General features: G+C 47.1%; 1 long non-coding RNA gene and 2 pseudogenes across 3 annotated transcripts, besides 5 other annotated features; 1 reads left to right on the top strand and 2 right to left on the bottom strand.

The window, feature by feature from the left end:
- Positions 9365–9912: an enhancer, noted in NCBI's record as "H3K27ac hESC enhancer chr12:7000801-7001348 (GRCh37/hg19 assembly coordinates)". NCBI's record gives its function as "activates a minimal SCP1, AML or CMV promoter by ChIP-STARR-seq in primed H9 embryonic stem cells {active_cell/tissue: H9 hESC(primed)}" and the evidence as "EXISTENCE:reporter gene assay evidence [ECO:0000049][PMID:30033119]".
- Positions 10180–10469: a silencer, noted in NCBI's record as "silent region_4191". NCBI's record gives its function as "represses an Ori minimal core promoter by ATAC-STARR-seq in GM12878 lymphoblastoid cells {active_cell/tissue: GM12878}" and the evidence as "EXISTENCE:reporter gene assay evidence [ECO:0000049][PMID:35858748]".
- On the top strand, positions 12191–25785 carry LOC105369632 (uncharacterized). The gene is made up of 4 exons (NR_135083.1): positions 12191–12243; positions 19262–19359; positions 23949–24050; positions 25635–25785. It is a non-coding gene; the product is annotated as an uncharacterized LOC105369632 (long non-coding RNA).
- Positions 14848–15395: an enhancer, noted in NCBI's record as "OCT4-NANOG-H3K27ac hESC enhancer chr12:6995318-6995865 (GRCh37/hg19 assembly coordinates)". NCBI's record gives its function as "activates a minimal SCP1, AML or CMV promoter by ChIP-STARR-seq in primed H9 embryonic stem cells {active_cell/tissue: H9 hESC(primed)}" and the evidence as "EXISTENCE:reporter gene assay evidence [ECO:0000049][PMID:30033119]".
- DSTNP2 (DSTN pseudogene 2) lies at positions 15763–16867 on the bottom strand (annotated as a pseudogene). The gene has a single exon (NR_033796.2). The product of NR_033796.2 is annotated as a DSTN pseudogene 2 (transcript).
- RPL13P5 (ribosomal protein L13 pseudogene 5) lies at positions 16935–17568 on the bottom strand (annotated as a pseudogene). Its single transcript, NR_002803.2, has one exon. The product of NR_002803.2 is annotated as a ribosomal protein L13 pseudogene 5 (transcript).
- Positions 17042–17590: an enhancer, noted in NCBI's record as "H3K27ac-H3K4me1 hESC enhancer chr12:6993123-6993671 (GRCh37/hg19 assembly coordinates)". NCBI's record gives its function as "activates a minimal SCP1, AML or CMV promoter by ChIP-STARR-seq in primed H9 embryonic stem cells {active_cell/tissue: H9 hESC(primed)}" and the evidence as "EXISTENCE:reporter gene assay evidence [ECO:0000049][PMID:30033119]".
- Positions 17591–18139: an enhancer, noted in NCBI's record as "H3K4me1 hESC enhancer chr12:6992574-6993122 (GRCh37/hg19 assembly coordinates)". NCBI's record gives its function as "activates a minimal SCP1, AML or CMV promoter by ChIP-STARR-seq in primed H9 embryonic stem cells {active_cell/tissue: H9 hESC(primed)}" and the evidence as "EXISTENCE:reporter gene assay evidence [ECO:0000049][PMID:30033119]".

Below are 26923 nucleotides of genomic sequence, written 5' to 3'. Positions count from 1 at the left end.
ATACTACCACTTTCCTTTCTTTCTTGCGTTTTTCCTTTTTTTTTTTTTTTTTTTGGTGTTGTTTTTTTTTTTTTTGAGATGGAGTCTGGCTCTCTCTCCCAGGCTGGAGTGCAGTGGCGTGATCTCGGCTCACTGCAAGCTCTACCTCCCGGGTTCACGCCATTCTCCTGCCTCAGCCTCCAGAGTAGCTGGGACTACAGGCGCCCACCACCACACCTGGCTAATTTTTTGTATTTTTAGTAGAGACGGGGTTTCACTGTGTTAGCCAGGATCGTCTCGATCTCCTGACCTCGTGATCTGCCCTCCTCGGCCTCCCAAAGTGCTGGGATTACAGGCGTGAGCCACCGCGCCCGGAACTTTCTTGTGTTTTTCTAGAGACAGAGTCTCACTACATTGTCCAGGCTGAGAGGCAGGAGAATAGGGTCCGGAGGCAGGGAATCTAAGGCCGAATCATGCTGACTGAATATCAGAGAGTACTCCCTTTTCAAACCCTCCTTTCTCTGTATGGCATTTGAAAAATGAAAGTACGTCTGATTGGTCCCCTCTCACAACCAGTCAGACTGATAGCAGGCCTACTCTCTTCATTTTGATTGGTCCCCTCCCACAATTAGACTGGCAGTCGGCCACTACTTCATTTGCATAGGGTGAACCAATGGGAAACCTCTAGATTGTATTTAAACCCCAGAAAATTCTGTCACCAATGCTCTTGAGCCACTTGCTGGAGCTTGCTCCCACTCTGTGGACTGTACTTTCCTTTAAAATAAATCTCTGCTTTTGGTGGATCAAGAGGTCAAGAGTTGGAGATCAGCCTGGCCAACATGGTGAAACCCCATCTCTACTAAGAATACAAAAATTAGCGGGGCGTGGTGGTGCAAGCCTGTAATCCCAGCTACTCAGGAGGCTGAGGCAGGAGAATTGCTTGAACCCAGGAGCCGAGATCGTGCCACTGCACTCCAGCCTGGGCGACACAGCAAGACTCCGTCTCGCGGGCACGGTAATTAAAAAAACAAACAAAAAAAATCTCTGCTTTCATTGCCTTGCTTTGTTTGTGTGTTTTGTCGAATTCTTTGTGCAAAACACCAAGAACCTGGACAATTACCCTCAACCGGTCACAGCTGGAGTGCAGTAGTTTTTCACAGGCACAACTGATGCAGGGCAGGTGAACACCCAAATTGGCGATTAGCCCAATAAGGCTCATGGTTCTTTCCTGAGCATGTGGTAGAAGATACAGCTTTATTGAGGATGCAGTTTTACAGCCCCATGACTGCTCCTACCGAGCAAGGCCACCCTCTAGGCAGTGTGTGGAGAGCAGCAACTCAGGGAAACTTCTGCAGTCACATTTATATTGACTTTTAATTACATGCAAATTAAAGAGTGGGTTATTCAGAAATTTCCAGAAAAGGGGTGGTAACTTCCAGGTTGTTATGGAAAAAGGCAGTAACTTCTGGGTGTCGCCATGGCAATGGTAAACTGTCGTGCTGGTGGGCGTGTCTTACGGAGAAGTGCTTTCTGTGCCTCTTCCCTGTTTCAGCCAGTCTTGAATCTGGTCCAAAGTCGAGGTCCTGTTTCCTGCCCACAATCATTGTGCACTACAGCCTCAAACTCCTGGGCTCAAGCCATCGACCTGCCTCAGCATCTCAAGTAGCTGGGACTACAGCTGTGTGCCACCAAGCCTGGCTAGACTTTTAACTGTTCCCTATTGATGGATATTAACTTTTTTTTAAAAATTGTCCATATTACAAATAACGCTGTTTAAATCCCCATAGATATATCTTTGCTCTTCTGCATGAGTACTCTGTAGCAGTATTCCTCAAATGTTAACGTGTATAGAAATTGCTTGAGGATCTCATTGAAATGTAGACCTCTCAAGTGATGCTGATGCTCTTGATTCATGGACTACGCATTGAGTAATATGACTATGTGGGAAACTTTTTTTTTTCTTTCCCAGGCTGGAGTGCAGTGGTGCAATCATCATGGCTCACTGCAGCCCCAACATCCTAAGCTCAGGTGATTCTCCTAACTCAGCCTCCCAGGTAGCTGGGACTACAGGCGCATGTCACCATGCCTAGCTAATTTTTTGCAATTTTTGTAGACACGGGTATTTCTCTATATTGCCCAGGCTAGTCTTGAACTCCTGGACTGAAGCCATCTGCCCGCCTCAGCTTCCCAAAGTGCTGGGATTACAGACAGGCAGGAGCCACCGTGCCCGGCGTACATTCTTAGAAGGTAGAATTTCTGGGTCAAATGGTACGTACTTTGCCAATCTTAATATGTCAAAAAATAGCTTTTGAGGGCTGGGTACAGTGGCTCACGCCTGTAATCCCAGCACTTTGTAAGGCTGAGGCGGGCTGATCATCTGAGTTTAGGAGTTTGAGACCAGCCTGGCCAAAATGGTGAAGCCCCTTCTCTACTAAAATACAAAAATTGGCCAGGCACAGTGACTCACACAGTAATCCCAGCACTTGGGGAGGCTGAGGCGGGCAGATCACGAGGTCAGGAGTTCGAGACCAGCCTGGCCAACATGGCAAAACCCCATATCTACCCCCCCCCCCAAAAAAAAAAAATAGCCGGGTGTGGTGGTGGCACATGCCTGTAATTCCAGCTACTGGGAGGCTGAGGCAGGATAATCGCTTGAACCCAGGAGGCAGAGATTGCAGTAAGCTGAGATCACGCCACTGCACTCCAGCCTGGGTGACAGAGTAAGACTCTGTCTCAATAAATAAATAAATAAATAAATAAATACAAATAAATTAGCTGGCATGGTGGCACACACCTGTAATCCCAGCTACTTGGGTGGCTAATGTACAAGAATCTCTTGAACCTGAGAGACAGGGGTTGCAGTGAGCCAAGATTACGTCACTGCACTCCAGCCTGGATGACAGAGCAAGACCCTGTCTCGAAAAAAACAAACAAAAATAACATTATTCTAACTCTTCTAAAGATTGTTATTTTACAGTATTTTTTTTTTTTTTTTTTGAGACAGAGTTTCTCTCTTGTCACCCAGGCTGGAGTGCAATGGCACAATCTCAGCTCACTGCAACCTCCGCCTCCTGGGTTCAAATGATTCTCCTGCCTCAGCCTCCCGAGTAGTTGGGATTAGAGGTGTGTGACGCCACACCTGGTTGATTTTTGTATTTTTAGTAGAGATGGAGTTTCACCATGTTGGCCAGGCTGGTCTCGAACTCCTGACCTCAGGTGATCCACCCGCCTCAGCCTCCCAAAGTGCTGGGATTACAGGCATGAGCCACCGTGCCTGGCCAGTATTTTTTCTTTTTCTTTTTGAGACAGAGTCTCGCTCTGTCACCAGGCTGGAGTGCAGTGGAGTGATCTCGGCTCACCACAACCTCCGACTCCCTGGTTCAAGTGATTCTCCTGCCTCCGCCTCCTGAGTAGCTGGGATTACAGGCACGCACCACCACACCCAGCTAATTTTTCTATTTTTAGTAGAGATGGGATTTCACCATGTTGGCCAGGATGGTCTCAATCTCCTGACCTCATGATCCGCCCGCCTCAGCCTCCCAAAGTGCTGGGATTACAGGCGTGAGCCACCACTCCCGGCCCTGGCCAGTATATTCTTAAATATTACTGTTGAGCCATATATATGACAATGGTGGACTTTGATGAATATCTGCACATCTGTAGTAAAATGTGAAGCTATCTTCATTCTGTTGGTATGGTAAACTTTTAAAATATCTTACTTTTTAAAAAGAGTTGGTTTGTGTGTTTTCTATGCTTACAAATTTTTCCATAGTACTGTAGATCATTTTAGTGATTAAATTTGACCCTTTTGACAGAAAAACAGGTCAATGAGTTCCTTGGGATCAAGAAGGGGTTGACTTCTTGATCTTGATCTTGAGGGAACTGTTAGAGTGATTCTACGATTGTTCTATGTCTTGATTATGATAGGACTATGCATTTGTCAGAGCTTATACTTAACAGGGTGATTTTTTTTTTTTTTTTTGAGATGGAGTCTTGCTCTGTCACCCAGGCTGGAGTGAAATGGCAAGATCTCGGCTCACTGCAACCTCTGCTTCCTGGGTTCAAGCGATTCTAGTGCCTTAGCCTCCCGAGTAGCTGGAATTACAAGCACGTGCCACCCTCCCACTTCAGCCTCCTAAGTAGCTGGGACTGCAGGTGCGCCCCACCATGCCCAGCTAATTTTTAACTTTTTTTTTGTAAAGATGGAGTCTCACTATGTTGCAGAGACTGGTCTGGAACTCCTGGGCTCAAGCGATTCTCCTGCCTTGGCCTCCCAAAGTGCTGGGGTTACAGGCATGAGCCACCATGCCCAGCCAGCCAAGTGCAACTGTTAACTGATTATAGCTGTATAACAAATCATCTCAAAACGTAGCAGCTTAAAACAGCAAAATGTATTATCTCAGTTTCTCAGGAATCCAAGAGTGGCCCAGGTGGGTTCCAGTCAAACGGCTGGCTGGAGCTGCCGTTATCTGAAGGCTTGGCTGGGGCTGAAGGATTTGCTTCCAAGATGGCTTACTCACATGGTTGTTGGCAAGACAGTTCCTTACCATCTGGACTTCTCCACAGGGCCTGAGTGCCCTCATAACATGGCAGCTGGCTTCCCCCAGAGCAAGTGATCCAAGAGAGAAAGAGACCAAGATGAAAGCCACTCTGCCTTTAACTGAGTCTCCAAAGTCACACACCATCACTTCCACTTTATGCTATTCTTTAGACGCCAGTCACTAAGTCCAGCCCACACTCAAGTGGAGGGGAATAAGGCTCACCTCTTAAAAGGAAGAGTATCACAGAATTCATGGACATATTTTTAAACCACCACACAGACACATTAACTTCTTGTCTCTTATACATTTTGAAAATATTTTCCTACTTTGTCATTTCACTTTGCTTATAGAGTGTCACCTTACAGAAATTTGACATTTGTGTGTAGTCCCAACTGCCAGTCTCTTGCATAAGGCTTCTGAACTGTGGGTCTGGTTCAGAAAAGCCTTTTTCACCCCTAAGGTTATGAAAATATTCTCTTGACTATTTTGATGGTATTTAAATATTTTTCGGTCTTTATTACATCTAGAATAGGTTGGTATATAGTGTGAGGTAGGGGAGCCAAAAGGGGAGCCAATTTTTTTCTACATCATTTATTGATTAATCCCATTCTTCTCTACTGACTTGAAATGCCATCTTTATCATATATATGGGTTTTATTCCTGGACCCTATTATCTTCCATTGATCTCTATGTCTACTGCTGCTCCAATGTCATACTGTCATAACTATTGATTTTAGTATTGATTTTTCTCTATATATCATATATCCTGCCACCTTATTATTTCTTTTTTTTTTTGAGACAGGGTCTTTTTTGTTTTTTAAGACAGAGTCTCACTGTGTCACCCAGGCTGGAGTGCAGTGGTGCAGTCTCGGCTCACTGCAACCTCTGCTCCCGTCAAGCGATTCTCGTGCCTCAGCCTCCTGAGTAGTTGGGATTACAGGCGCACACCACCTTGGCCAGTTTTTTAGTAGTAGTAGTAGTAGTAGTAGTAGTAGTAGTAGTAGTAGTAGTAGATTTGGGGTTTTGCCATGTTGGCCAGGCTAATCTCAAACTCCTGGGCTCAAGCAATCCACCTGCCTCAGCCTCTTAAAATGTTGGGATTACAGGCGTTAGCCACCACCCCTGGCCTGAGACAGGGTCTTGCTTTGTCACTCAAACTGGAGTGCAGTTTGGGAACATGGCTCATTGCAGCCTCAAACTCCTGGGCTCAAGTAATGCCTTGGCCTCCCAAGTAACTAGAATCACCTAGTTACCGGGCATGCCACCATGCCTGGATAATTAATTTTTAAAATTGTTTTGTAGAGATAGGGTCTCACTATGTTCCTTGGGCTACTCCCCAATTCCTGGGCTCAAGAGATCCTCCTGCCTCAGCCTTCCAAAATGCTGGGATTACAGGCATGAACCACCATGCCCGGCCTTCTTTTTTTTTTTTTTTTTTTTTTGAGACGAAGTCTCGCTTTTGTCCCCCAGGCTGGAGTGCAATGGCGCGATCTCGGCTCACTGCAACCTCCGCCTCCCAGCGGAGAATCAAGCGATTCTCCTGCCTCAGCCTCCCGAGTAGCTGGGATTACAGGTGCTCCCACCATACCCAGCTAATTTTTGTATTTTTAGTAGAAACGGGGTTTCACCATGTTGGCCAGGCTGGTCTCGAACTCCTGACCTCAGGTGATTCGCCCGCCTCAGCCTTCCAAAGTGCTGGGATTATAGCCGTGAGCCACTGCGCCCGACCCAGGCCTTCTTTTCCTTTAGAAACAGGGTCTTGGTCTGTCACTCAAGCTGGAGTGCAGTGGTGTGATCACAGCTCACTGCAGCCTCAACAACCCAAGCTCAACCAATCCTCCTACCTCAGCCTCCCAAGCAGCTGGGACTACAAGCACACACCACCATGCCTGGGTAATTTGTGTGTGTGTGTGTCTGTGTGTGTTTTGTAGAGACGAGGTTTTGCCATGTTGCCCAGGCTGGTCTTGAGTTCCTGGGCTCAAGATATCTGTCTGCTTCAGCCTCCTGAAGTGCTGGGACTACAGGCATGAGCCACCGCACCCAGCCCACCTTATTGTTTCTAATAATAGAATAGACTATTGGATAGAAAGAAGTAGAAAAACTCAATAAATTCTAAAATGTTACTTTAAATTCTTAAAATAGATAGCAAATGCATATATATGGTATATATCTAGCATATGATTCAGTGAAGGTAGAAGAATCTTGAAAGTTTAGGAAGCTGAAGATGATAAGTGTATGGAGTAAGGAGGTAGGGATGGAGAGGAAGACTCAACAAGACTCAGCAACTGAATGGACATAGGACATGGAGAAGATGAATATATCCAACTAGTTAGTGGTAATGGAACACTGTATTACTCTGTTTTCATACCCTATAAAGAACTGCCCAAGACTGGGTAATTTATAAAGAAAAGAGGTTTAATTGAGTCACAGTTCTGCATGGCTGGGGAGGCCTCAGGAACTTTGCAATCATGGCAAAAGGAGAAGCAGCCATGTCTTACATGGTAGCAGGCGAGAGAGTGTGAAGGAGGAACTGTCAAACACGTAGAAAACCATCAGCTCTCATGAGAACTCACTCACTATCACAACAACAGCATGGGGGAAACCGCCCCCAAGATCCAGTCACCTCCCACCAGGTCCCTCCCTGGATGTGAGGATTACAGGGACTACAATTTGAGATCAAATTTGGGTAGGGACACAGAGCCAAACCCTATCAAACATCCTCATAGAGATGTCCATTAGGCCACTGGAGACAGGCAGCTAGAGCTGAGTCTCAAAGTTGGCTGATCCTTCAGCTCTACCATGTCTTCCAGGACTGCAATCCACAGTGATGACTTCTCCTGTAACTGAGTCTTCCCAGTGTCATGTGATGGCTGCACATAGCTATCAGAGACTCAAGTGGGACCACTGACAGTCCTTTCTTACTGCTGTCTCATAAGAGCAAGGAACCATCCACTTTCCAGAAGCCTCCTGATTTATTTTTATGTGAGATAATAAATGTCCATATGAAATGCCCTTTAATACCATTTCCTCAGAATTTTTATGACTCAGTAGAAAGTTTTTTTGTTTTTTGTTTTTTGTGTTTTTTGTTTTTTTTTTTTTTTGAGAGGGAGTCTTGCTCTGTCACCTAGGCTAGAGTACAGTGGAGCAATCTCGGCTTACTGCAAACCTCTGCCTCCTGGGTTCAAGCGATTTTTCTGCCTCAACCTTCCAAGTAGCTGGGATTACAGGCGTTCACCACCACACCCAGCTAATTTTTTGTATTTTTTGTAGAGACAGGGTTTCACCATGTTGGTCAGGCTGGTCTTGAACCCCTGGCCTCAGGTGGTCTGCCTGCTTTGGCCTCCCAAAGTGCTGGGATTACAGGCGTGAGCCACCATGCCTGGCCAATGCAAAGTATCTTGATACACTGCTCCTTGCAAATCACTGATACTCAAAAGGCTTTCTTTGTATATCTACTAGCCATAGAGTTTGCAAAACCAGATGTATGTTTGTTTGTGTGTGCATGTGTGTGTGTCCCATTTTTCACATTCAAATTATTATTATTGAGATGTAGTCTCACTTTGATGCCCAGGCTAGAGTGCAGTGGCATGATCTTGGCTCACTGCAACCTCTGCCTCCCAGTTCAAGTGATTCCCGTGCCTCAGCCTCCCAAGTAGCTGAGATTACAGGTGACCGCCACCATACCCAGCTAATTTTTGTATTTTTAGTAGAGACCGGGTTTCACTATGTTGGCCAGGCTGGTCTTGAACTCCTGACCTCAGGTGATCTGCCCACCTCAGCCTCCCAAAGTGCTGGGATTACAGGCATGAGCCACTGCGCCCAGCCTGCTTTTCTTTAGTGTTACCTATATCACTTTCGGATGCTCAAATCAAAATCTTTGGGTCATCCTTGCAGAACTGCCAAACAGAACTTTTTCTTGTTTTCTTTTTCTTTTTTTTTTTTTTTTTGCAACAGGGTCTCACTCTGTTACTCAGGCTGGAGTGCAGTGGCACAATCATGGCTCACTGCAGCCTTGACTTCCTAGACTCAAGTGATCCTCCTGCCTGAGCCTCCCAAGTAGCTAGGACTACAGGCATGCACCAACACGCCTGGCTAGTTTTTTTGTAGCGGTGGGGGTCTCCCTATGTTGCCCAGGCTGGTCTCAATCTCCTGTCCTCAAGGGATCCGACTGCCTTGGCCTCCCAAAGTGCTAGGATTACAGGCATGAGCAACTTGCACTTGGCCTCCAATAGATCTTGAGTTCTTCAGTTTCACTCTGCACCCTACTGCCTGGCACAGTGTCTAGCACACAGTAAATGTTCAATAGATACTTTTTTTCTTTTTGAGACAGGGTCTCACTCTGTCACCCAGGCTCAACTGTAATAGCGAGATCACAGCTCACTGCAGCCTGGACCTCTCAGGCTCAAGCAATCCTCCCACCTCAACCTCCAGGGTAGCTGGTATTACAGGAGTGAGCCACTATGCCTGGCCTAAATGTGCTTTTTTAAAAAAAGTAATCAAGAGCACCCTCCCTCAATTTGGATTTGCCCTTACAGATAAACTCCCCTTACCTCCCTCCACGTTGAGAATCACTGCTAAGTCGTGAACAAGTGACAAGCCTCCATGATACCCTGTTAGGATTAACTAGCAAGAAACAGAGGCTCGGAAGGATGTCAAAAGGAAAACTAGGGCCAGGCGCGGTGGCTCACGCATTTAATCCCAGCGCTTTGGGAGGCGGAGGCGGGCGGATCACCTGAGGTCAGGAGTTCGAGACCAACCTGACCAACATGGTGAAATCCCGTCTCTACTAAAAATACAAAATGAGCTGGGCGTGGTGGCGCATGCCTGTAAGCCCAGCTACTCGGGAGGCTGAGGCAACAGAATCGCTTGAACCTGGGAAGTGGAAGTTGCAGTGAACCAAGTTCAAGCCACTGCACTCCAGCCTGGGCGTCCGAATGAGACTGTCTCAAAAAACAAAAAAGGAAAACTAGGAAAAATTGAGTATTTTTAAAAATAGCAAGGATAGACAAAAGAGCATTTACCTTTGTAACAGGTGTGCTACTTTACGCTGCAGTTTCTTTCTCCTCTTTTTGAAAGGGTCTTGCTATGTCACCCATCCTCCCAGAGTATTCACAGGCGTGATCATAGCTCACTGCAGCCTCGACCTCCAGGGCTCAAGCAATCCTCCTGCCCTAGCCTCCTGAGTAGCTGGGACCACAGGCATGAGCCATCGCCCCAGCTACCATAGTTTCTAACACAACCTGGGTGTCTCCCACTTCTGACCTCCCTCCTCGGGGAGAACAAAATGATTGTCTCCCAGTGGAGAGTCCCTAGACATAACCACCATGATAGAAGAAAGAGGGCTGGGGAAGGAAACATTTTGAGGGCTGATGCAATGGAACCCTTTAAAACGTAAAGAACTTTAGTAGGTAAGCCTCAATTAGGAAGTTTCTCACAAGCACTCAGTCCATTCCACTCTCTTCTGGAACCCGAGCTAGAGACGCCCTCAGCAGCCAGTTTAGCGGCGGCCCTCGCCGCCAAGAACGGACTTTCAGCCTCGGGCCCTAGTTTCCGCCCTGGGATCTCTGTTCCGGGCCAGAATGCTCCACGCATGAAAGTCAGCGCTGGGGCCGGAGAAGAGATTGGCGGGGACGGAAGCTGCAGTTCAGGGGAAAGCCCGATGGCGGGCTCCAGTTTCTGTAGCCACTAAGGAGTGAACTACTGGGAGGAGAGCCCGAGACGCGTGCGGCCGCTGTGGGGCGCGCGCGAGGCACTCGGACCGCCGGCCTGCTGCGCTCCCGCTCACGTGACCGCCGCCCGGCGACAGTCAGCGTCTGCCCCGCCCCCTGCCGCGAGCTTTGCCGTGGTTACGCAACTGGCACCTGGGCGGCTGCGCGGGGCGGGGCATTGGCGCTGGGCGGGGAGGAGCGAGGCGTTGATGCGAGGCGGGACGGAGCGTTGGCGCTGGGCGGGACGGCGACCGAGAATCCTGGTTTTAAACATTTTTTGCTGTGTCATTTGCCATTTCCTCCCCGCTAGTGGGCAGGGGGAGGCTCTTCGGAGTTGGATCTTGACTTTGCCATTTTCCAGTTCTGTAGTCTCGGACAATACGTTTAACTTCTCTAAGCCTCAGTTTACGAATCTAAAAATTGGTTTATCTTTGTTGTGAGGATTAAAGGAAATGTGGAGTTTCATCGCAGATTCATTCAACAGTGCTCAGATTAAATAGAGCAGAGTGGGGCCAGCCCCCATTCCGAGCGAGTGTAAGATGGGGAGACTATGTTCTCTTGGTCCCAGTTCTGAGCCCTTCGTTTGTATCTTGTGACGCTGACAGCGATTCTACTGTTTTATGTCTTAAACTAGATTGTAGTGTTTTAAGATACTTCCTTTCTGTATGACATGATCCATCTGAAAGGCCATCAAGCACTTTAGGCACTCAACCGAAGAAACAATTCCCTTCCATGCTAGCATACAAGTCTATCCCCAAAGTGGAAAAAAAAAAAATACGGCCTCAAAAAATCTGTACATTCAATCAAGATTCAAAAAATTTGTGAAGCGAGGTCAGCAGATTCTCCTACAACTGCTAAAGTGACAACGAAGATATGTGGTTAATGAAAATGGCAGGCCGGGCGCGGTGGCTCACGCCTGGAATCCCAGCACTTTGGGAGGCCGAGGTGGGTGGTCCACCTGAGGTCAGGAATTCGAGACCATCCTGGCTAAAACAGCGAAAACCCGTCTCTACTAAAAATGCAAAAATTAGCCGGGCGTGGTGACGGACGCCTGTAATCCCAGCTACTCAGGAGGCTGAGGCAAGAGTATCACTTGAACCCAGGAGGCGGAGGTTGCAGTGAGCCGAGATTGCACCATTGCACTCCAGCTTGGGCAACAAGAGCGAAACTCCGTCTCAAAAAAAAAGAAAAAAGAAAATAGAAAGGCCACTAAACATTACCGAAAGACAAAAACCAGAAATATGTGTCTGGGCCAGGTGCAAGTGGCTCAGGCCTATAATCCCAGCCCTTTGGGAGGGCAAGACCAGAAGCTAATCCTCTTGAGGCCAGGAGTTGTAGGCTGCAGTGAGATATGATTGCACCACTGCACTCCAGCCTGGACAACAGAGCAAGACCCTGCCTCTATATATTAAAAAGAAAGAAAACCAAAAAGAAATATGTGCCTTACAATGGCAAGACGTGGCAAAAAAAGAGAAGAAAAAAACTCTTCATCTCAAGTCATAGTTCAAACCTCCTACTAGAGAAGTCAGCCTTTGGATGGAAAGATTTCAAAACCAGCCAAGGATGGCATAATGATTTTAGAAGCCCATTTAAACCTCAAAAACACACAAACTATTGGTGAGATGTGTCTGTAGAGGAACAGACAGCACAACCCACTCAGAGCTATTAGAAAGGTTTATTGGCATAGGCCAGGCACGGTGGCTCACGCCTGTAATCCCAGCACTTTGGGAGGCCAAGGCAGGTGGATCATGAGGTCAGGAGTTCGAGACCAGCCTGGCCAACATGGTGAAATGCCGTCTCTACTAATAATACAAAAATTAGCCGGGCATGGTGATGGGCACTATAATCCCGGCTACTCGGAGGCTGAGGCAGAAGAATTGCTTGAACCCAGGAGGCAAAGGTTGCAGTGAGTCAAGATCGTGCCACTGCACTGCAGCCTGGACAACAGCGCAAGACTCCATCTCAAAAAAAAGAAAAATTACTGGTGAAAAGGCCATCTTCCAGAATACCATGAGGTTAGTGGTTGCTATCTTCTGGGGAAAGATGCCCAACTGCATTTAATATTTCCAAACTAGAAACACAAGGCCCTGGTTTGAAAGCAACTCATGATCTTCTGAATGCTATTCCCCTCCACCCTTTGCCCTTGCCCCCAAGTGCAGGGGCAGTGTAGTTCTACAGGGCTGTCATTCTACAAATCCTGGTGCCCTTTAAAAAAAAAAACAAAACAAACAAACAAAAAACGGCGGTACGGTGGCTCACACCTGTAATCCCAGCCTTTGGGAGGCTGAGATGGGCAGAGCACTTGAGGTCAGGAGTTCAAGACAGCCTGGCCAACACAGTGAAACCCCATCTCTATTAAAAATACAAAAATTAGCCAGGCATGGTGGCACACCCCTGTAATCCCAGCTACTCGGGAGGCTGAGACAGAATTGCTTGAACCTGGGAGGGAGAGTTTGCAGTGAGCAGAGATTGAGCCACTTTACTCCAGCCGCGGCTGCAGAGCGAGACTGTCAAAAAAAACAAACAAACAAAAACCTGCCTGTGCTCTAGCAATCAAATGCAAAGTCCTGGGTGACTGTAGTACTTTCCCTGATTCAGTTTCAAATATCTTCATTCTAGAAGTCAAGCAGGACCTCAAAGAGAAAAAATCTGGCTTTGTGCTGCAGGACACAACAATACCACACTGATGTACCACACACTTTATGAATGTGCTCATAAAGGCGCTGAATGAAGGTTTCCTGTCCCAACATGACTCCATCCTTCACTCTGCTGATCTAAGCATTATTTGCTGTTTCAAAGCCACATACATTAGGCTGAGATTCTCCCTTGACTCCCAGAGCCATGGATGCTGACCCTAATCTTAATGTGGTAAAGATCTGGAAGTCCTTCCATATTGCTAGTTGCATCATTTCTATTTAAACAGGCAATGGGAGGCCAGGTGTGGTGTCTCACGCCTGTAATCCCAGCACTTTGGGAGGCTGCAGATCTCTTGAGTCCAAGAGTTCAAGACCAGCCTGGGCAACATGGCAAGACCTCATCTCTGCAGAAAATTAGCTGAACGTGGTGGTGTGCACCTGTAGTCCCAGCTACTCAGGAGGTGCAGGCAGGAGGATCACCTGTGCCTGGGAAAGTTGAGGCTGCAGTGAGCCATGCTCATGCTACTGCACTCCAGCCTGGGTGATACAGCAAGACCCTGTCTCAATAAATAAATAAATAAACAAACAAACAAACAAACAGGTAATGGAAGCAACGAAGCCTGACAGTCAATGCATGTGGAATGTGTTCAGAATTTTAAGGGTTTCTTTCTCTTTTTTTTTTTTGTTTTTTGTGTTTTGAGACAGAGTCTTGCTCTGTTGCCCAGACGGGAATGCAGTGGTGTGATCTCAGCTCACTGCAACCTCCACCTCCCATGTTCAAGCAATTCTCCTGCCTCACCTTCCCAAGTAGCTGGGATTACAGGCATGTGCCACCATGCCTGGCTAATTTTTGTATTATTAGTAGAGATATTATTTTACATTATTAGTATTATTTCACCATGTTGGCCTGGCTGGTCTTGAACTCCTGACCTCAACTGATACACCCACCTCGGCCTCCTAAAGTGCTGGGATTACAGGCGTGAGCACCGCGCCTGGCCAAGGGTTTCTATTGACAAAGAAGTGAAACTCATTGTGCAAGTCGCCTAGCAAGTGGATCGTGATGGCTTTGTTTATACATCATTGAGGAAGAAAGTAAAGAACTTCTTGGCCTGGCCAGGTATGGTGGCTCATGCCAGTAATCCCAGCACTTTGAGGGACTGAAGCCGAGGATCCCTTGATCATGGCTCAAGGTGACAGTGAGCTACTTCGCCACTGCACTCCAGCCTGTGTGACAGAGTAAGACCCAGTCTCTAAAATATAAGGAAATAATCATAAAAATAAAGAAGTTTTTGAGAGCCACAGAGAAACACTAATAAAAAATCTTGAGGAACTGATAAAAATCACCCTCAGGAGAAAAAGGAAAAGACCAAACTAAAGCTTCATAAATTTACTGAAGTGTTTCATGCTGCAAAATGTCTGAATAATTTTTTTTTTGCATTATTCCTGATATATTACAAGTCCTCAACAGGGCTTTATTTTTTTTCTTTTCTTTTCTTTTCTTTTTTTTTTTTGAGACAGAGTCTTGCTCTGTGGCCCAGGCTGGAGTTCAGTGGCACAATCTCGGCTCACTGCAACCTCTGCCTCCCAGGGTCAAGCAATTCTCCTGCCTCAGCCTCCCTCGTAGCCAGGACTACAGGCACACGCCGCCATGCCTGGCTAATTTTTTGTATATTTAAAGTAGAGATGGGGTTTCACCGTGATGCCCAGGCTGGTCTTGGACTCCTGAGCTCAAACAATCCACCCACTTTCGCCTCCCAAAGTGCTAGAACTACAGGCGTGAGCACCGCGCCTGGCTATTTTCTTTTTTCTTTTCTTTTCTTTTCTTTTTTTTTTTTAAAAAAACAACTTTAGACTTTAGATATATGTGGGGAAAAGCAAAAGAGATCAGATTGTTACTGTGTCTGTGTAGAAAGAAGTAGACATAGGAGACTCCATTTTGTTCTGTACTAAGAAAAATTCTTCTGCCTTGAGATTCTGTTAATCTATAACCTTACCCCCAACCCCGTGCTCTCTGAAACATGTGCTGTGTCAACTCAGAGTTAAATGGATTAAGGGCGGTGCAAGATGTGCTTTGTTAAACAGATGCTTGAAGGCAGCATGCTCCTTAAGAGTCATCACCACTCCCTAATCTCAAGTACCCAGGGACACAAACACTGCGGAAGTCCGCAGGGACCTCTGCCTAGGAAAGCCAGGTATTGTCCAAGGTTTCTCCCCATATGATAGTCTGAAATATGGCCTCGTGGGAAGGGAAAGACCTGACCATCCCCCATCCCGACACCCGTAAAGGTTCTGTGCTGAGGAGGATTAGTAAAAGAGGAAGGAATGCCTCTTGCAGTTGAGACAAGAGGAAGGCATCTGTCACCTGCCTGTCCCTGGGCAATGGAATGTCTTGGTATAAAACCCGATTGTATGCTCCATCTACTGAGATAGGGAAAAACCGCCTTAGGGCTGGAGGTGGGACCTGCGGGCAGCAATACTGCTTTGTAAAGCATTGAGATGTTTATGTGTATGCATATCTAAAAGCACAGCACTTAATCCTTTACATTGTCTATGATGCAAAGACCTTTGTTCACGTGTTTGTCTGCTGACCCTCTCCCCACAATTGTCTTGTGACCCTGACACATCCCCCTCTTCGAGAAACACCCACAAATGATTAATAAATACTAAGGGAACTCAGAGGCTGGCAGGATCCTCCATATGCTGAACGCTGCTTCCCCGGGTCCCCTTATTTCTTTCTCTATACTTTGTGTCTTTTTCTTTCCCAAGTCTCTCGTCCCACCTTACGAGAAACACCCACAGGTGTGGAGGGGCAACCCACCCCTACAGATATATTTAGGGCTGTTTGCATATGTTTATAGAGTATTTAGTTTACTCTAAAAGATGACAAGACAGCTCCCCTCAGTGAGACCCTGGCCTAAATATATTTGCTTTATTTATATAGCAAGAGGATAACATTAAACGTGGAAGCTTTCAATTTGTGGCACTGAATGATGATCTACACAGGGCATCCTTCAAAGGCTACAATTAAGGATCCACTGGCCAGGCATGCTGGCTCACGCCTGTAATCCCAGCACTTTGGGAGGCCAAGGAGGGCAAATCACGAGGTCAGGAGTTCGAGACCAGCCTGACCAATATGGTGAAACCCTGACTCTACTAAGAATACAAAAATTAGCCAGGTGTGGTGGCGCACGCTATAATCCCAGCTACTCAGGAGGCTGGGCAGGAAAATCACTTGAACCCGGGAGGCAGAGGTTGCAGTGAGCCGAGATCCTGTCACTGCACTCCAGCCTGGGCGACAGATCAAGACTCCATCTCAAAAAAAAAAAAAAAGGATCCACCTAACTTTTCAGCAGTACAAGCCCGATTGAGATCTTCTGGTCCGTTTGTTTGCCATTCATGTTTTATGCCTTGAAATTTCTTTTTGATTGCATCCTTGGAGCTTGTATAGATCATTTTACTTTTCAAAGGTGCTAGTTCTGATGCCCACAAGAAAACATCAATTCTTCTGGATTCTTTTGTTTCAAAGCTTGCATCATACAAAGCATAGCAACAATCTTTTTCAGGAAGCATTCCCACAAAATGCTTGAAAGGCTCACTTATAGTTACACCAACATCTCCAACCAAGATCTCTTTGCCTTCTACATGATGCACTTTTTGTCTGCACTGAGACAAAAAAATGACAGCCTTTGTTCTTTTCTTGATTTCTTCTGGTGTGGAGCATTTACGAACTCTCATGTCATAAAAAATGCGACACACTTCATCAGCAACTTGCACTCCTGAGGCACGTTGTTCAGAGTTCTGCTCTGCCGAGCTTCCAGTCTTTACATTCAATTTCCTATCTCACATCTCCAGTTGTATGTCTCAAAGGCATCTGATGCACAACAGGTCATCTTCGCCCACCACCACAGGGACGCGGGGGAGGGAGCCGGCGGGTAGTGAGTCTGGGCAGCGTCCTCCTCGTGGCTGCGGGACTGAGAGGGCGGGTAGTGAGTCTGGGCAGCGTCCTCCTCATGGCTGCGGGACCGAGAGACCCAGCGCGAAGCTGATGCAGCGGCTCGAGCCTACCCGTTTTTTTTTTTTTTAAGCGTCCTCTTCTACAGCTTCCTTGGCTCTTTGTGCCTATATGCCGAAGAGCTGGGCATTTGCATGGGCCATACAGAGACTAACAAGGCCTGGAAGTTTTCCTCCTAGTCAGCGATGACTCTGGCTTTCTCCTTGTAGACATTGCCGATGGGCATTTCTGGTCCTGTCAGCTGAGTATCCAGTTCGAGTTCTTCAGCAGAACTGTCTCCCTTCTTGGGGGCCAAGGGCTTCCTGGGGAAGAGGATGAGTGAGGAGCGGTCCTCCTTCAGCCTCTGCACCTTGGCCTGCAGGGCCTGGGTGGACTGGTTCCTCCTCCTTGCATCCTCAGAGATGCCAATGGTCTGGGCCACCTTCTTGTAAATGCCAGCCACCCTTAACTCCTCCAAGCTGAGGCCCCTGCCAGCTTGTGCTTTGTAGTGATGCCTCAGCATGGGGCACCTTACTATGGGTGGATGGGCCCATATCAGTGGGCCATGCAGCCTGCTTTTGCTGGCCACCTTGCTTCTGCAGGTCTGCCCCATGGGCTGGCTGAGCCACATGGCCACACCACTGCCAGTCCTTGTGGAAGTTGGGCTTCAGGATCATGCCATTCCGGCTGGGTGCCCTGCCTCCCTCCAGCCCAGGGGGTAGCGAAAGAGAGGAGGGAGCAATTGAGGGACCACCCACAGCCATGTGCACTCACCTGGCCACTGCCACCGCCCTAGTCCTCCAGCCTGGCCGCGCCCACAGATCCTGGTCTGGCAAGAGGCCTTCTTCGACAATGAAGAGGCCCCAGCTTGGGCCGAGGTCCCTCTATGGCTCCGTTGGTGACAATGCTAGGCCTATGGCGGTGGACAGAGCCCGATGACCCCCGACAGTGCTGGAACTCTGAATGATTTAATTTCTGAATAAAATGTCCCTATGGAAAGAAATCAGAAAATTGCATGTGGTTAAATCTATATGTTGTAATCCCTTATTACCCAGCAATTCTGCACATAGTTTTGCACCCAAGAAAAATGCATGCCTAGCTCCACCAAAGACTTGTGAAAAAAGTTCTCTGAAAAGGAATTTGGTTTTGTTTTGTTTATTAGTTTGTTTGTTTTAAAAGACAGGGTCTTACTCTGTTGCCCAGTTTGTAGTGCAGTGGCACATTCGCAGCCCCTGCAGCCTTGAACTCCTGGACTCAAGCAATCCTCCCACTTTGGCATCCTGAGTACTAGGACTACAGGTGTGCACCATCACCCAACTAATTAAAAAATTTTTTTATTGGCCGGGCCCAGTGGCTCATGCCTATAATCCCAGCACTTTGGGAGGCCAAGGCGGGTGAATCACCTGAGATCGGGAGTTCGAGACCAGTCTGACCAACATGGAGAAACCCTGTCTGTACTAAAAATACAAAATTAGCTGGGCATGGTGGCGCATGCCTGTAATCCCAGCTACTCGGGAGGCTGAGGCAGGAGAATCACTTGAACCCGGGAGGCAGAGGTTGCAGTGAGCCGAGATAGTGCCATTGCACTCCAGCCTGGGCAACAGAAAAAAAAAATTATTGGCTAAGGAGGTCTCGATATACTACCTAGGCTAGTCCCCAACTCCTGGCCTCAACTGATCTTCCCATCTCAGCTTCCCAAAATACTGGGATCACAGGCTGTAAAGGAATTCAGAGGGAAGAGACTTTATTCCAGTGAACAGTGTGTAAACCAGCAGCATTCCCCAATTTGGAATTTTTTTTTTTTTTCCAAAAAATAAAGCTCTCCTTTGTTTTTCTTCTGCAGGCCTCATGGTCTTTTGTTAACAGACTTGTACAGTAATGTACATGGCAACTTTATAATGGTGGAAAACTGGAAACAATTTAAATATCCATTAACAGGCCCAGTACAGTGGCTCACATCTGTAATCCCAGCACTTTGGGAGGCTGGGGCAGGTGGATCACCTGAGGTCAGGAGTTTGAGACCAGCCTGGCCAACATGGTGAAACCCCATCTCTACTAAAAATACAAAAATTATCCAGGCGTTGTAGTACATGCCTGAAGTCCCAGCTACTTAGGAGGTTGAAGCACGAGAATTGCTTGAACCTGGGAGGTGGAGGTTGCAGTGAGTCGAGATCGCACGACTGCACTCCTGTCTGGGCGAGAGAGCAAGACTGTCTTAAAAAAAAAATCCATCAACAGTACAATAGATATATTGTGGTATATTTAGATGATGGAATACTATATGACAATGAAAATTATGAGCTATTTCATGCAAGAACATGGATGACTTACAGATACAATGCTGGAAAGACACAAAGAATACATACTATGTTTTCTTTTTCTTTCTTTCTTTTTTCTTTTTTTTAGAGACAAGGTTTCCCTCTGTAACCCAGGCTGGAGTGCAGTGGAACTTCTGAGCTCAAGTAGTCTTCACATCTCAGCCTTCCAAGTAGCTGTGACTAGAGGCAAGTGACACTGCATTTGACATTATGATTCCATTTATATGAAATTGAAGAACAGACAACACTAATCTATACTGATAGGGGGTCTAATAGGAGCTACCCTTGGGAATGTATCATCAGGGAAAGAGCAAGACAGATGCTGAATTCTTTTTTTGTGTTTTTGTTTGTTTGTTTGTTTGTTTGTTTTTTGAGATGGAGTCTTGCTCTGTCACCCAGGCTGGAGTGCAATGGCGCGATCTCGGCTCACTGCAAGCTCCGCCTCCCGGGTTCACGCCATTCTCCTGCCTCAGCCTCCAGAGTAGCTGGGACTACAGGCGCCCGCCACCACGCCCGGCTAATTTTTTGTATTTTTAGTAGAGACGGGGTTTCACCGTGTTAGCCAGGATGGTCTCGATCTCCTGACCTCGTGATCCACCCGCCTCGGCCTCCCAAAGTGCTGGGATTACAGGCGTGAGCCACCGCGCCCGGCCTTGTTTTTGTTTTTTTAAGACAGCATCCAGCTCTGTCACTCAGGCTGGAGTGCAGTGGGCATGGTCAGGGCTCACTGCAGCCTCAAGCAGTCCTCCGACCTCAGCCCACCAGAGTAACTGGGACTAGAGGCGTGCACCACCACACCCAGCTAACTTTTTTGAATTTTTAGTAGAGACGAGGTCTCCCTATGTTGCCCAGGCTCATCTCAGAACTCTTGAGCTCAAGTGATCCCCTGCCTTAGCCTCCCAAAGTACTGGGATTATAGGTGTGAGCCACCGTGCCCAGCCAGCTGGATTCTTTATCTTGATCTTTTTGGTGGTTGTCACCCAAGTGTATATGTATGTAAAAGTTCACTGGGCAATTTAAGATTAGTGTGCTTTATATATGCTACATCTCAATCAAAAAGTAAAAACGGCAGTGGTGGGAGGGGACTTTTTTTTTAAAAGGACCGATCGCAGTGGCTCACCCCTGTAATCACAATATTTTGAGAGACCAAGATGGGTGGATTGCTTGAGCCCAGGAGTTCGAGACCAACCTGGGCAACATGGTGAAACCCTGTCTTTATAAAAGCATACAAAAAAATTATCCAGGCATGCTGGCGGGGCGCCTGTTGTCCCAGCTACTCCAGAGGCTGAGGCGGGAAAGTTGCTTGAACCCAGAAGGCAGAGGTTGCAGTGAGCCGAGATCGTGCACTGCACTCCAGCCTGGGCAACAGAGCCAGACCTTGTCTCAAAATATATATATATAAAAATTTAAAAACAGCCAGGCATGGTGGCTCATGCCTGTAATCCCAGCACTTTGGGAGGACGAGGCAGGAGAATTGCTTGAGTACAGGAGTTTGAGATCAACCTGGGCAACATAGAGAGAGTCCCTGTCTCTACGAAAAGTTAAATATTAGCCAGGCCTGGTGGCATGTGCCTGTAGTCCTAGCTACTCAGGAGGCTGGGGTGAGGCTGCAGTGAGTCATGGTCGTGCCACTGCACTCCAGCCTGGAGTACACTGAGACCCTGTCTCAACAAAATAATAAAATAAGTAAAAAGGCATTGTGGCACATGCCTGTAGTCTCAGCTACTTGGGAGGCTGAGGTTGGGGGGATTACTTGAACCCAGGAATTTGAGTCCAGCCTGGGCAAAATAGCAAGACCTCATCTATAATTTTTTTTTTTTTTTTGAGATGGAATGTCGCTCTGTCACCCAGGCTGGAGTGCAGTGGCGTGATCTTGGCTCACTGCAAGCTCTGCCTCCAGGGTTCACGCCATTCTCTTGCCTCAGCCTCCCGAGTAGCTGGGACTACAGGCGCCCACCACCACGCCTGGCTAATTTTTTTTGTATTTTTAGTAGAGACGGGGTTTCACTGTCTCTACTAAAGCCAGGATGGTCTCGATCTCTTGACCTTGTGATCCACCCGCCTCGGCCTCCCAAAGTGCTGGGATTACAGGTGTGAGCCACCATGCCCGGCCAATTTTTTTTTTTTTTTAATTTTTAAGTAAAAAATTTAAATTACTTGTAGCATTACGAAATTTTTTACCTTTTAGCAACAAATGTTTGACCAGCTCCAGATTCAGTGGCATCAACTGATGAATTGTTTAAAACAACCTTTTTTTTTTTTTTTTGAGACAAAGTCTCCCTCTGTCGCCCAGACTGGAGTGCAGTGGCGCAATCTCGGCTCACTGCAACCTCCGCCTCCTGGGTTCAAGTGGTTCTTCTGCCTCGGCTTCCTGAGTAGCTGGGACTACAGGCACGTGCCAGTAGGCCTGGCTAATTTTTATGTATTTTTTAGTAGAGACGGGGTTTCACCATGTAGGCCAGGCTGGTCTCGAACTCCTTATCTCAGATGATCTGCCTGCCTCAGCCTCCCAAAGTGGTGGGATTACAGGCGTGAGCCACTGTGCCCGGCCAACAACCATGTTTTAAACAACCAGTAGCAGCAGCAGCAGCAGCATCAGCAGCACAGGCGTGATTAAATTCTCAAGCTGAGCTAGAGCTAGCCATGGGGCAGGCACTGTTCTCTGTCCCCAGGCCTTGGTTATCACATGGGTCCTTCACTACTATTCATCATAGGCTGCCACCCACAGTCATGATGTTATTTATTTTTTGAGACGGGGTCTCGCTCTGTCACCCAGGCTGGAGTGCAGTGGCCTGATCTTGGCTCACCGCAACCTCCAATTCTAGACTCAAGGGATTCTCTTGCCTCAGCCTCTTGAGTAGCTGGGATGGCAGGCGCAAGCCACCAAAGCCTGGCTAATTTTTTGTATTTTTTGTAGAGGCGGGGTTTCATCATGCTGCCCAGGCTGGTCTTCAACTTCTGATCTCAAATCGGCCCACCTTGGCCTCCCAAAGTGCTGGGATTACAGGTGTGAGCCACTGTGCCTGGTCTTACAGTCATGATGTTATTATTGATGTCACATACTGGCAAGCATATCCAGGTTGGGTGGATGACAAGTTTCAGGTTCATATCTTTATTTTAGTATGCTTTCTTCTTCTTTTTATTATTATTTTATTTTCATAGGTTATTGGGGAACAGGTGGTGTTTGGTTATATGAGTAAGTTCTTTCGTGGTGATTTGTGAGATTTTGGTGCACCCATCACCCAAGCAGTATACACTGAACGCTATTTATAGTCTTTTATCCCTCCACCTCTTCCCACCCTTTCCCCCTGAGTACCCAAGGTCCATTGTGTCATTCTTATGCCTCTGCATTCTCATGGCTTAGCTCCCACTTATGAGAACATATGATGTTTGGTTTTCCATTCCTGAGTTACTTCTTAGTGTGCTGCTTTCTTCTTCCTCTTTAAAACATTATAAAATATTTTGTACATCATTTTATATATATATATATATATATATATATATATATATATATATATATATATATATATACAGCCACATAGTGATTTTTACACAAACGAATATATGCTCACCTAACAGATGCAGTAACTGAGGGATTTTCTTTTTCTTTTTTTTTTTTTTTTTGAGATGGAGTTTCGCTCTTGTTGTCCAGGCTGGAGTGCAATGGCTCAATCTCAGCTCACCACAACCTCTGCCTCCCAGGTTCAAGCGATTCTCCTGCCTCAGCCTCCCGAGTAGCTGGGATTACAGGCATGTGCCACCATGCCTAGCTGATTTTTGTATTTTTAGTAGAGACGAGGTTTCTCCATGTTGGTCAGGCTGGCCTCAAACTCCCGACCTCAGGTGATCTGCCTGCCTCGGCCTTTCTTTTTTCTTTTTTCTTTTTTTCCTAGTTCTTGTGGTCCTCAATTATTTTTATTTTATTTTACTTTATTTTTTGAGACGGAGTCTTGCTCTGTCGCCAGGCTGGAGTGCAGTGGCAGGATCTTGGCTCACTGCAACCTCTGCCTTGCGGGTTCTTCTGCCTCAGCCTCCTGAGTAGCTGGGATTACAGGCACGATTCTCCTTCCTCAGCCTCCTGCGTAGCTGGGATTATAGGCACATGCCACCACGCCCAGCTAATTTTTGTATTTTTAGTAGAGACGGGGTTTCACCATGTTGGCCAGGCTGGTCTCGAACTCCTGACCTCAAGTGATCCACCTGCCTCGGCCTCCCAAAGTGCTGAGATTACAGGCATGAGCCACCATGCCCAGCCTATTTTATTTTTTTGTTTTGTTTTCTGAGATGGAGTATCACTCTGTCGCCCATGTTGGAGTGCAGTGGCGCCATCCTGACTCACTGCAACCTCCGCCTCCTGGGTTCAAACAATTCTCCTGCTGAGGGATTACAGGTGCACACCACCACGCCTGGCTAATTTTTTTTTTTTTGTATATTTAGTAGAGACGGGATTTCACCATGTTGGCCAGGCTGGTCTTGAACTCCTGACCTCAGGTGATCCACACGCCTCGGCCTCCCAAAGTGCTGGGATTACAGGCGTCAGCCACCGCGTCCGGCCTATTTTATTATTATTATTTGGTAGAGATGGGGTCTCACTAGTCTTCCAGGCTGGTCTCAAACTCCTGGGCTCAAGCTCCTGCTTCAGCCTCTCAAAGTGGTGGGATTACAGGAATGAGCCACTGCACCCAGCCTACTAAGGGATTTCCAAGGGTAACTTTAACTATGTGACATAATTGTAATTTACTTCTCCTCATTTTCTATTCCTTCAAAATGTAAAGCTTGTGACAGTCCAGCCCCTTCAGCCTGGAGTTCCACCTACCAGTCCCCACATGTGCTGTCTCTCACCAAGGTTGCCAGTGACCTCTGACCAAAACAATCTTGTAAGTAATCAAAACTGAATTTTCTACCTTGTTCTATTCTCCTTGACCCTTCTGTTGCTCCACACTCTCTTTGTCCCCATCGCCCATATTTCACTCACTCATTCTCATAGTTCAACTCCTGACTAAAGACTGACACACCTCCCAAATCCCTGTCTCCAGCCCAGGCCTCTCATTCTGCCTCCAGACCTGCCATTTTCTTGTGTGTTCTGGATGGTTCCATTTGCTTGTGGCTCAGACACCTCAAAAACATATCCTAAACTGAACTCACCATCTCCCTCTCCCACCCTCCTGCCCCTGCCCTCAATTACTCCTCTTTCTGTCATCTCCATCTTGATTGGTGGCACCACCTTCCAATCAATTTTTCCAGGCTAGAAACTTCCCTTTCTCTTTTTTTTTTTTTTTTTTTTTTGAGATGGAGTCTTGCTCTGTCGCCCAGGCTGGAGTGCGGTAGCGCCATCTCGGCTCACTGCAGCCTCCACCTCCCTGGTTCAAGCAATTCTCCTGCTTCACCCTCCGAAGTAGCTGGGATTACAGGTGCCCACCACCACACACAGCTAATTTTTGTATTTTTAGTAGAGACAGGGTTTCACCATGTTGGCCAGGCTGGTCTCAAACTCCCAACCTCAGGTGATCCGCCTGCCTCGGCCTCCCAAAGTGCTGGGATTACAGGCGTGAGCCACTGTGCCCAGCCTCAACTCCATATCTAATCAGTCACCAAATCTTGCCGTTTCATCAGTGTTTCTTGAATTATTTTCATCCTTATTTCTACTGTCCTATTTCAGGCTGTTGACACTTGTCACCTGGGCTGCTGGAAATGGTGTCTTTGCTTCCAGTCCTTTTTTTTTTTTTTTTTTGAGACAGAGTTTCACTCTTGTTGCCCAGGCTGGAGTGCAATGGCGTGATCTCGGCTCACCGCAACCTCCACCTCCCAGGTTCAAGCAATTCTCCTGCCTCAACCTCCTGAGTAGCTGGGATTACAGGCATGCTCCACCATGCCCGGCTAATTTTGTATTTTTAGTAGAGACAGGGTTTCTCCATGTTGGCCAGGCTGGTCTCGAACTCCAAACCTCAGGTGATTCGCCCATCTCAGCCTTCCAAAGTGCTGGGATTACAGGTGTGAGCCATCGCGCCCAGCCAACTTCCAGTTCTATTTCCCTTGAAGCTCCTCTATGTTGCTGCCAGGGTGGTTTTTCTAAAATGCAGATCTGGCCAGGCACAGTGGCTCACGCCTGTAATCCCAGTACTTTGGGATGCTGAGGCAGGAGGATCGCTTGACTCAGGAGTTCGAGACCAGCCTGGGCAACAGACTGAGACTCTGTCTCTATTTTAAAAATTAAGAAATAATAATTTGTAAATTAAAAAAATAAAAATAAATTAGCTCGGCATGGCGGTATGCACCTGTAGTCCCAGCTACTCAGGAGGCTGAGGTAGGAGGATCAGCGGAGCTCAGGAGGTTGTGGCTGCCATGAGTCGTGATCACGCTACTCCACTCCAGCCTGGGTGACAAAGTGAGACCCTGGCTCAAAATATATAAATAAATCAAATGCCTATCTGACCATGTTCCTCTCTTCTTCTATCCTACAGTGGCTCCCCATCACTGGCCTGTCCTATGGGAAAACATTTGCATTCCTTAACTCAGCCTAGAAGGCCTCTGTGACTTGCTGTCTACTTATCTGGCCCTTCTCATGCTTCCTTTCTGGCTGTAGCAACCTTGAAGATATCGTACTTCCCCAAACCCACCTGCTGCTTCTTGCTTTTTTTCATGCGGACTCTTCTGTCTGGAATATCTTCTACATGCAGCAACCGTAACCCAACCTCCATACTGCAGAGAAGTGGCTCGTCTCAGGCCAATTCCTGGTCATCCTTTTAGATTCAGCCCAGGCTGGGCGCGGTGGCTCATGCCGGTAACCCCAGCACTTTGGGAGGCCGAGGCGGGCAGATCACGAGGTCAGGAGTTCGAGGCCAGCCTGGGCAACATAGTGAAACCCTGTCTCTACTAAAAATACAAAAATTAGCCAGGCATGGTGGTGCACGCTTGTAGTCCCAGCTACTTGGGAGGCTGAGGCAGGAGAATCACTTGACCCCAGGAGGCAGAGGTGAGCTGAGATCACGCCACTGCACTCCAGCCTAGGCATCAGAGCTTAGACTCCGTCTCAAAAAAAAAAAGAGAAAGATTCAGCCCAGTGTGAAGGTGTGAACCTCTTCTAGGACATGAAAAGATTCAGCCCAGGTGTGAACCTCTTTTGGAGATGCTCCTTTCCTAACTGCTTGAACCCCGGATAGGAGTCCTATTCTTTTTACTCCTATAGTACTTTCTTTATATCTCCATAATTTTATTTACTATTACTACATGATACATTATTTTATAAAAGTCTTTGTAACCTCCTTAAGGATTCACTGCTTAATCTCCAGTGCTTAGCACAAATCATTAAATGCGAACCAGAAACTCTTCCAAATGTGTTACATCTATAACCTCATTGGATTCTCACTACCAACCCCATGCAATAGATACTAATGTGATCTCTGTCTTACAGAGGAAGAAACAGGCACAGGGAGGTTCAGTAATTTGCCCAAGGTCATACACACACTGGCCTTCAGGTATTCATGCCCGGGGAGTCTGGTCCCACAGCTGGCATGTTTGCCATTATATTATATTGCCTCCTTATAGTGTCGGCACTCATTAAGCACATTGACAGCTATGCTTGGTGAGTGACTACTATGTACCCAGCTCTGTGCTACATGCTTTACCTGGATTATTTCAACTGCACAACAACCCTGTGAGGTAACTACCATCATTGCTCCTATTTTACATAACAGAAAACTACAGAAATCTGGGGCTGGGCGTAGTGGCTCATGCCTGAAATCCCAGCACT

Source organism: Homo sapiens, chromosome 12 (genome assembly GCF_000001405.40).
Source record: "Homo sapiens chromosome 12, GRCh38.p14 Primary Assembly".
Taxonomy (NCBI): Eukaryota; Metazoa; Chordata; class Mammalia; order Primates; family Hominidae; genus Homo; species Homo sapiens.
The sequence above is the reverse complement of the archived record's forward strand: the minus strand, read 5'-3'. Positions and strand labels throughout refer to the sequence as shown.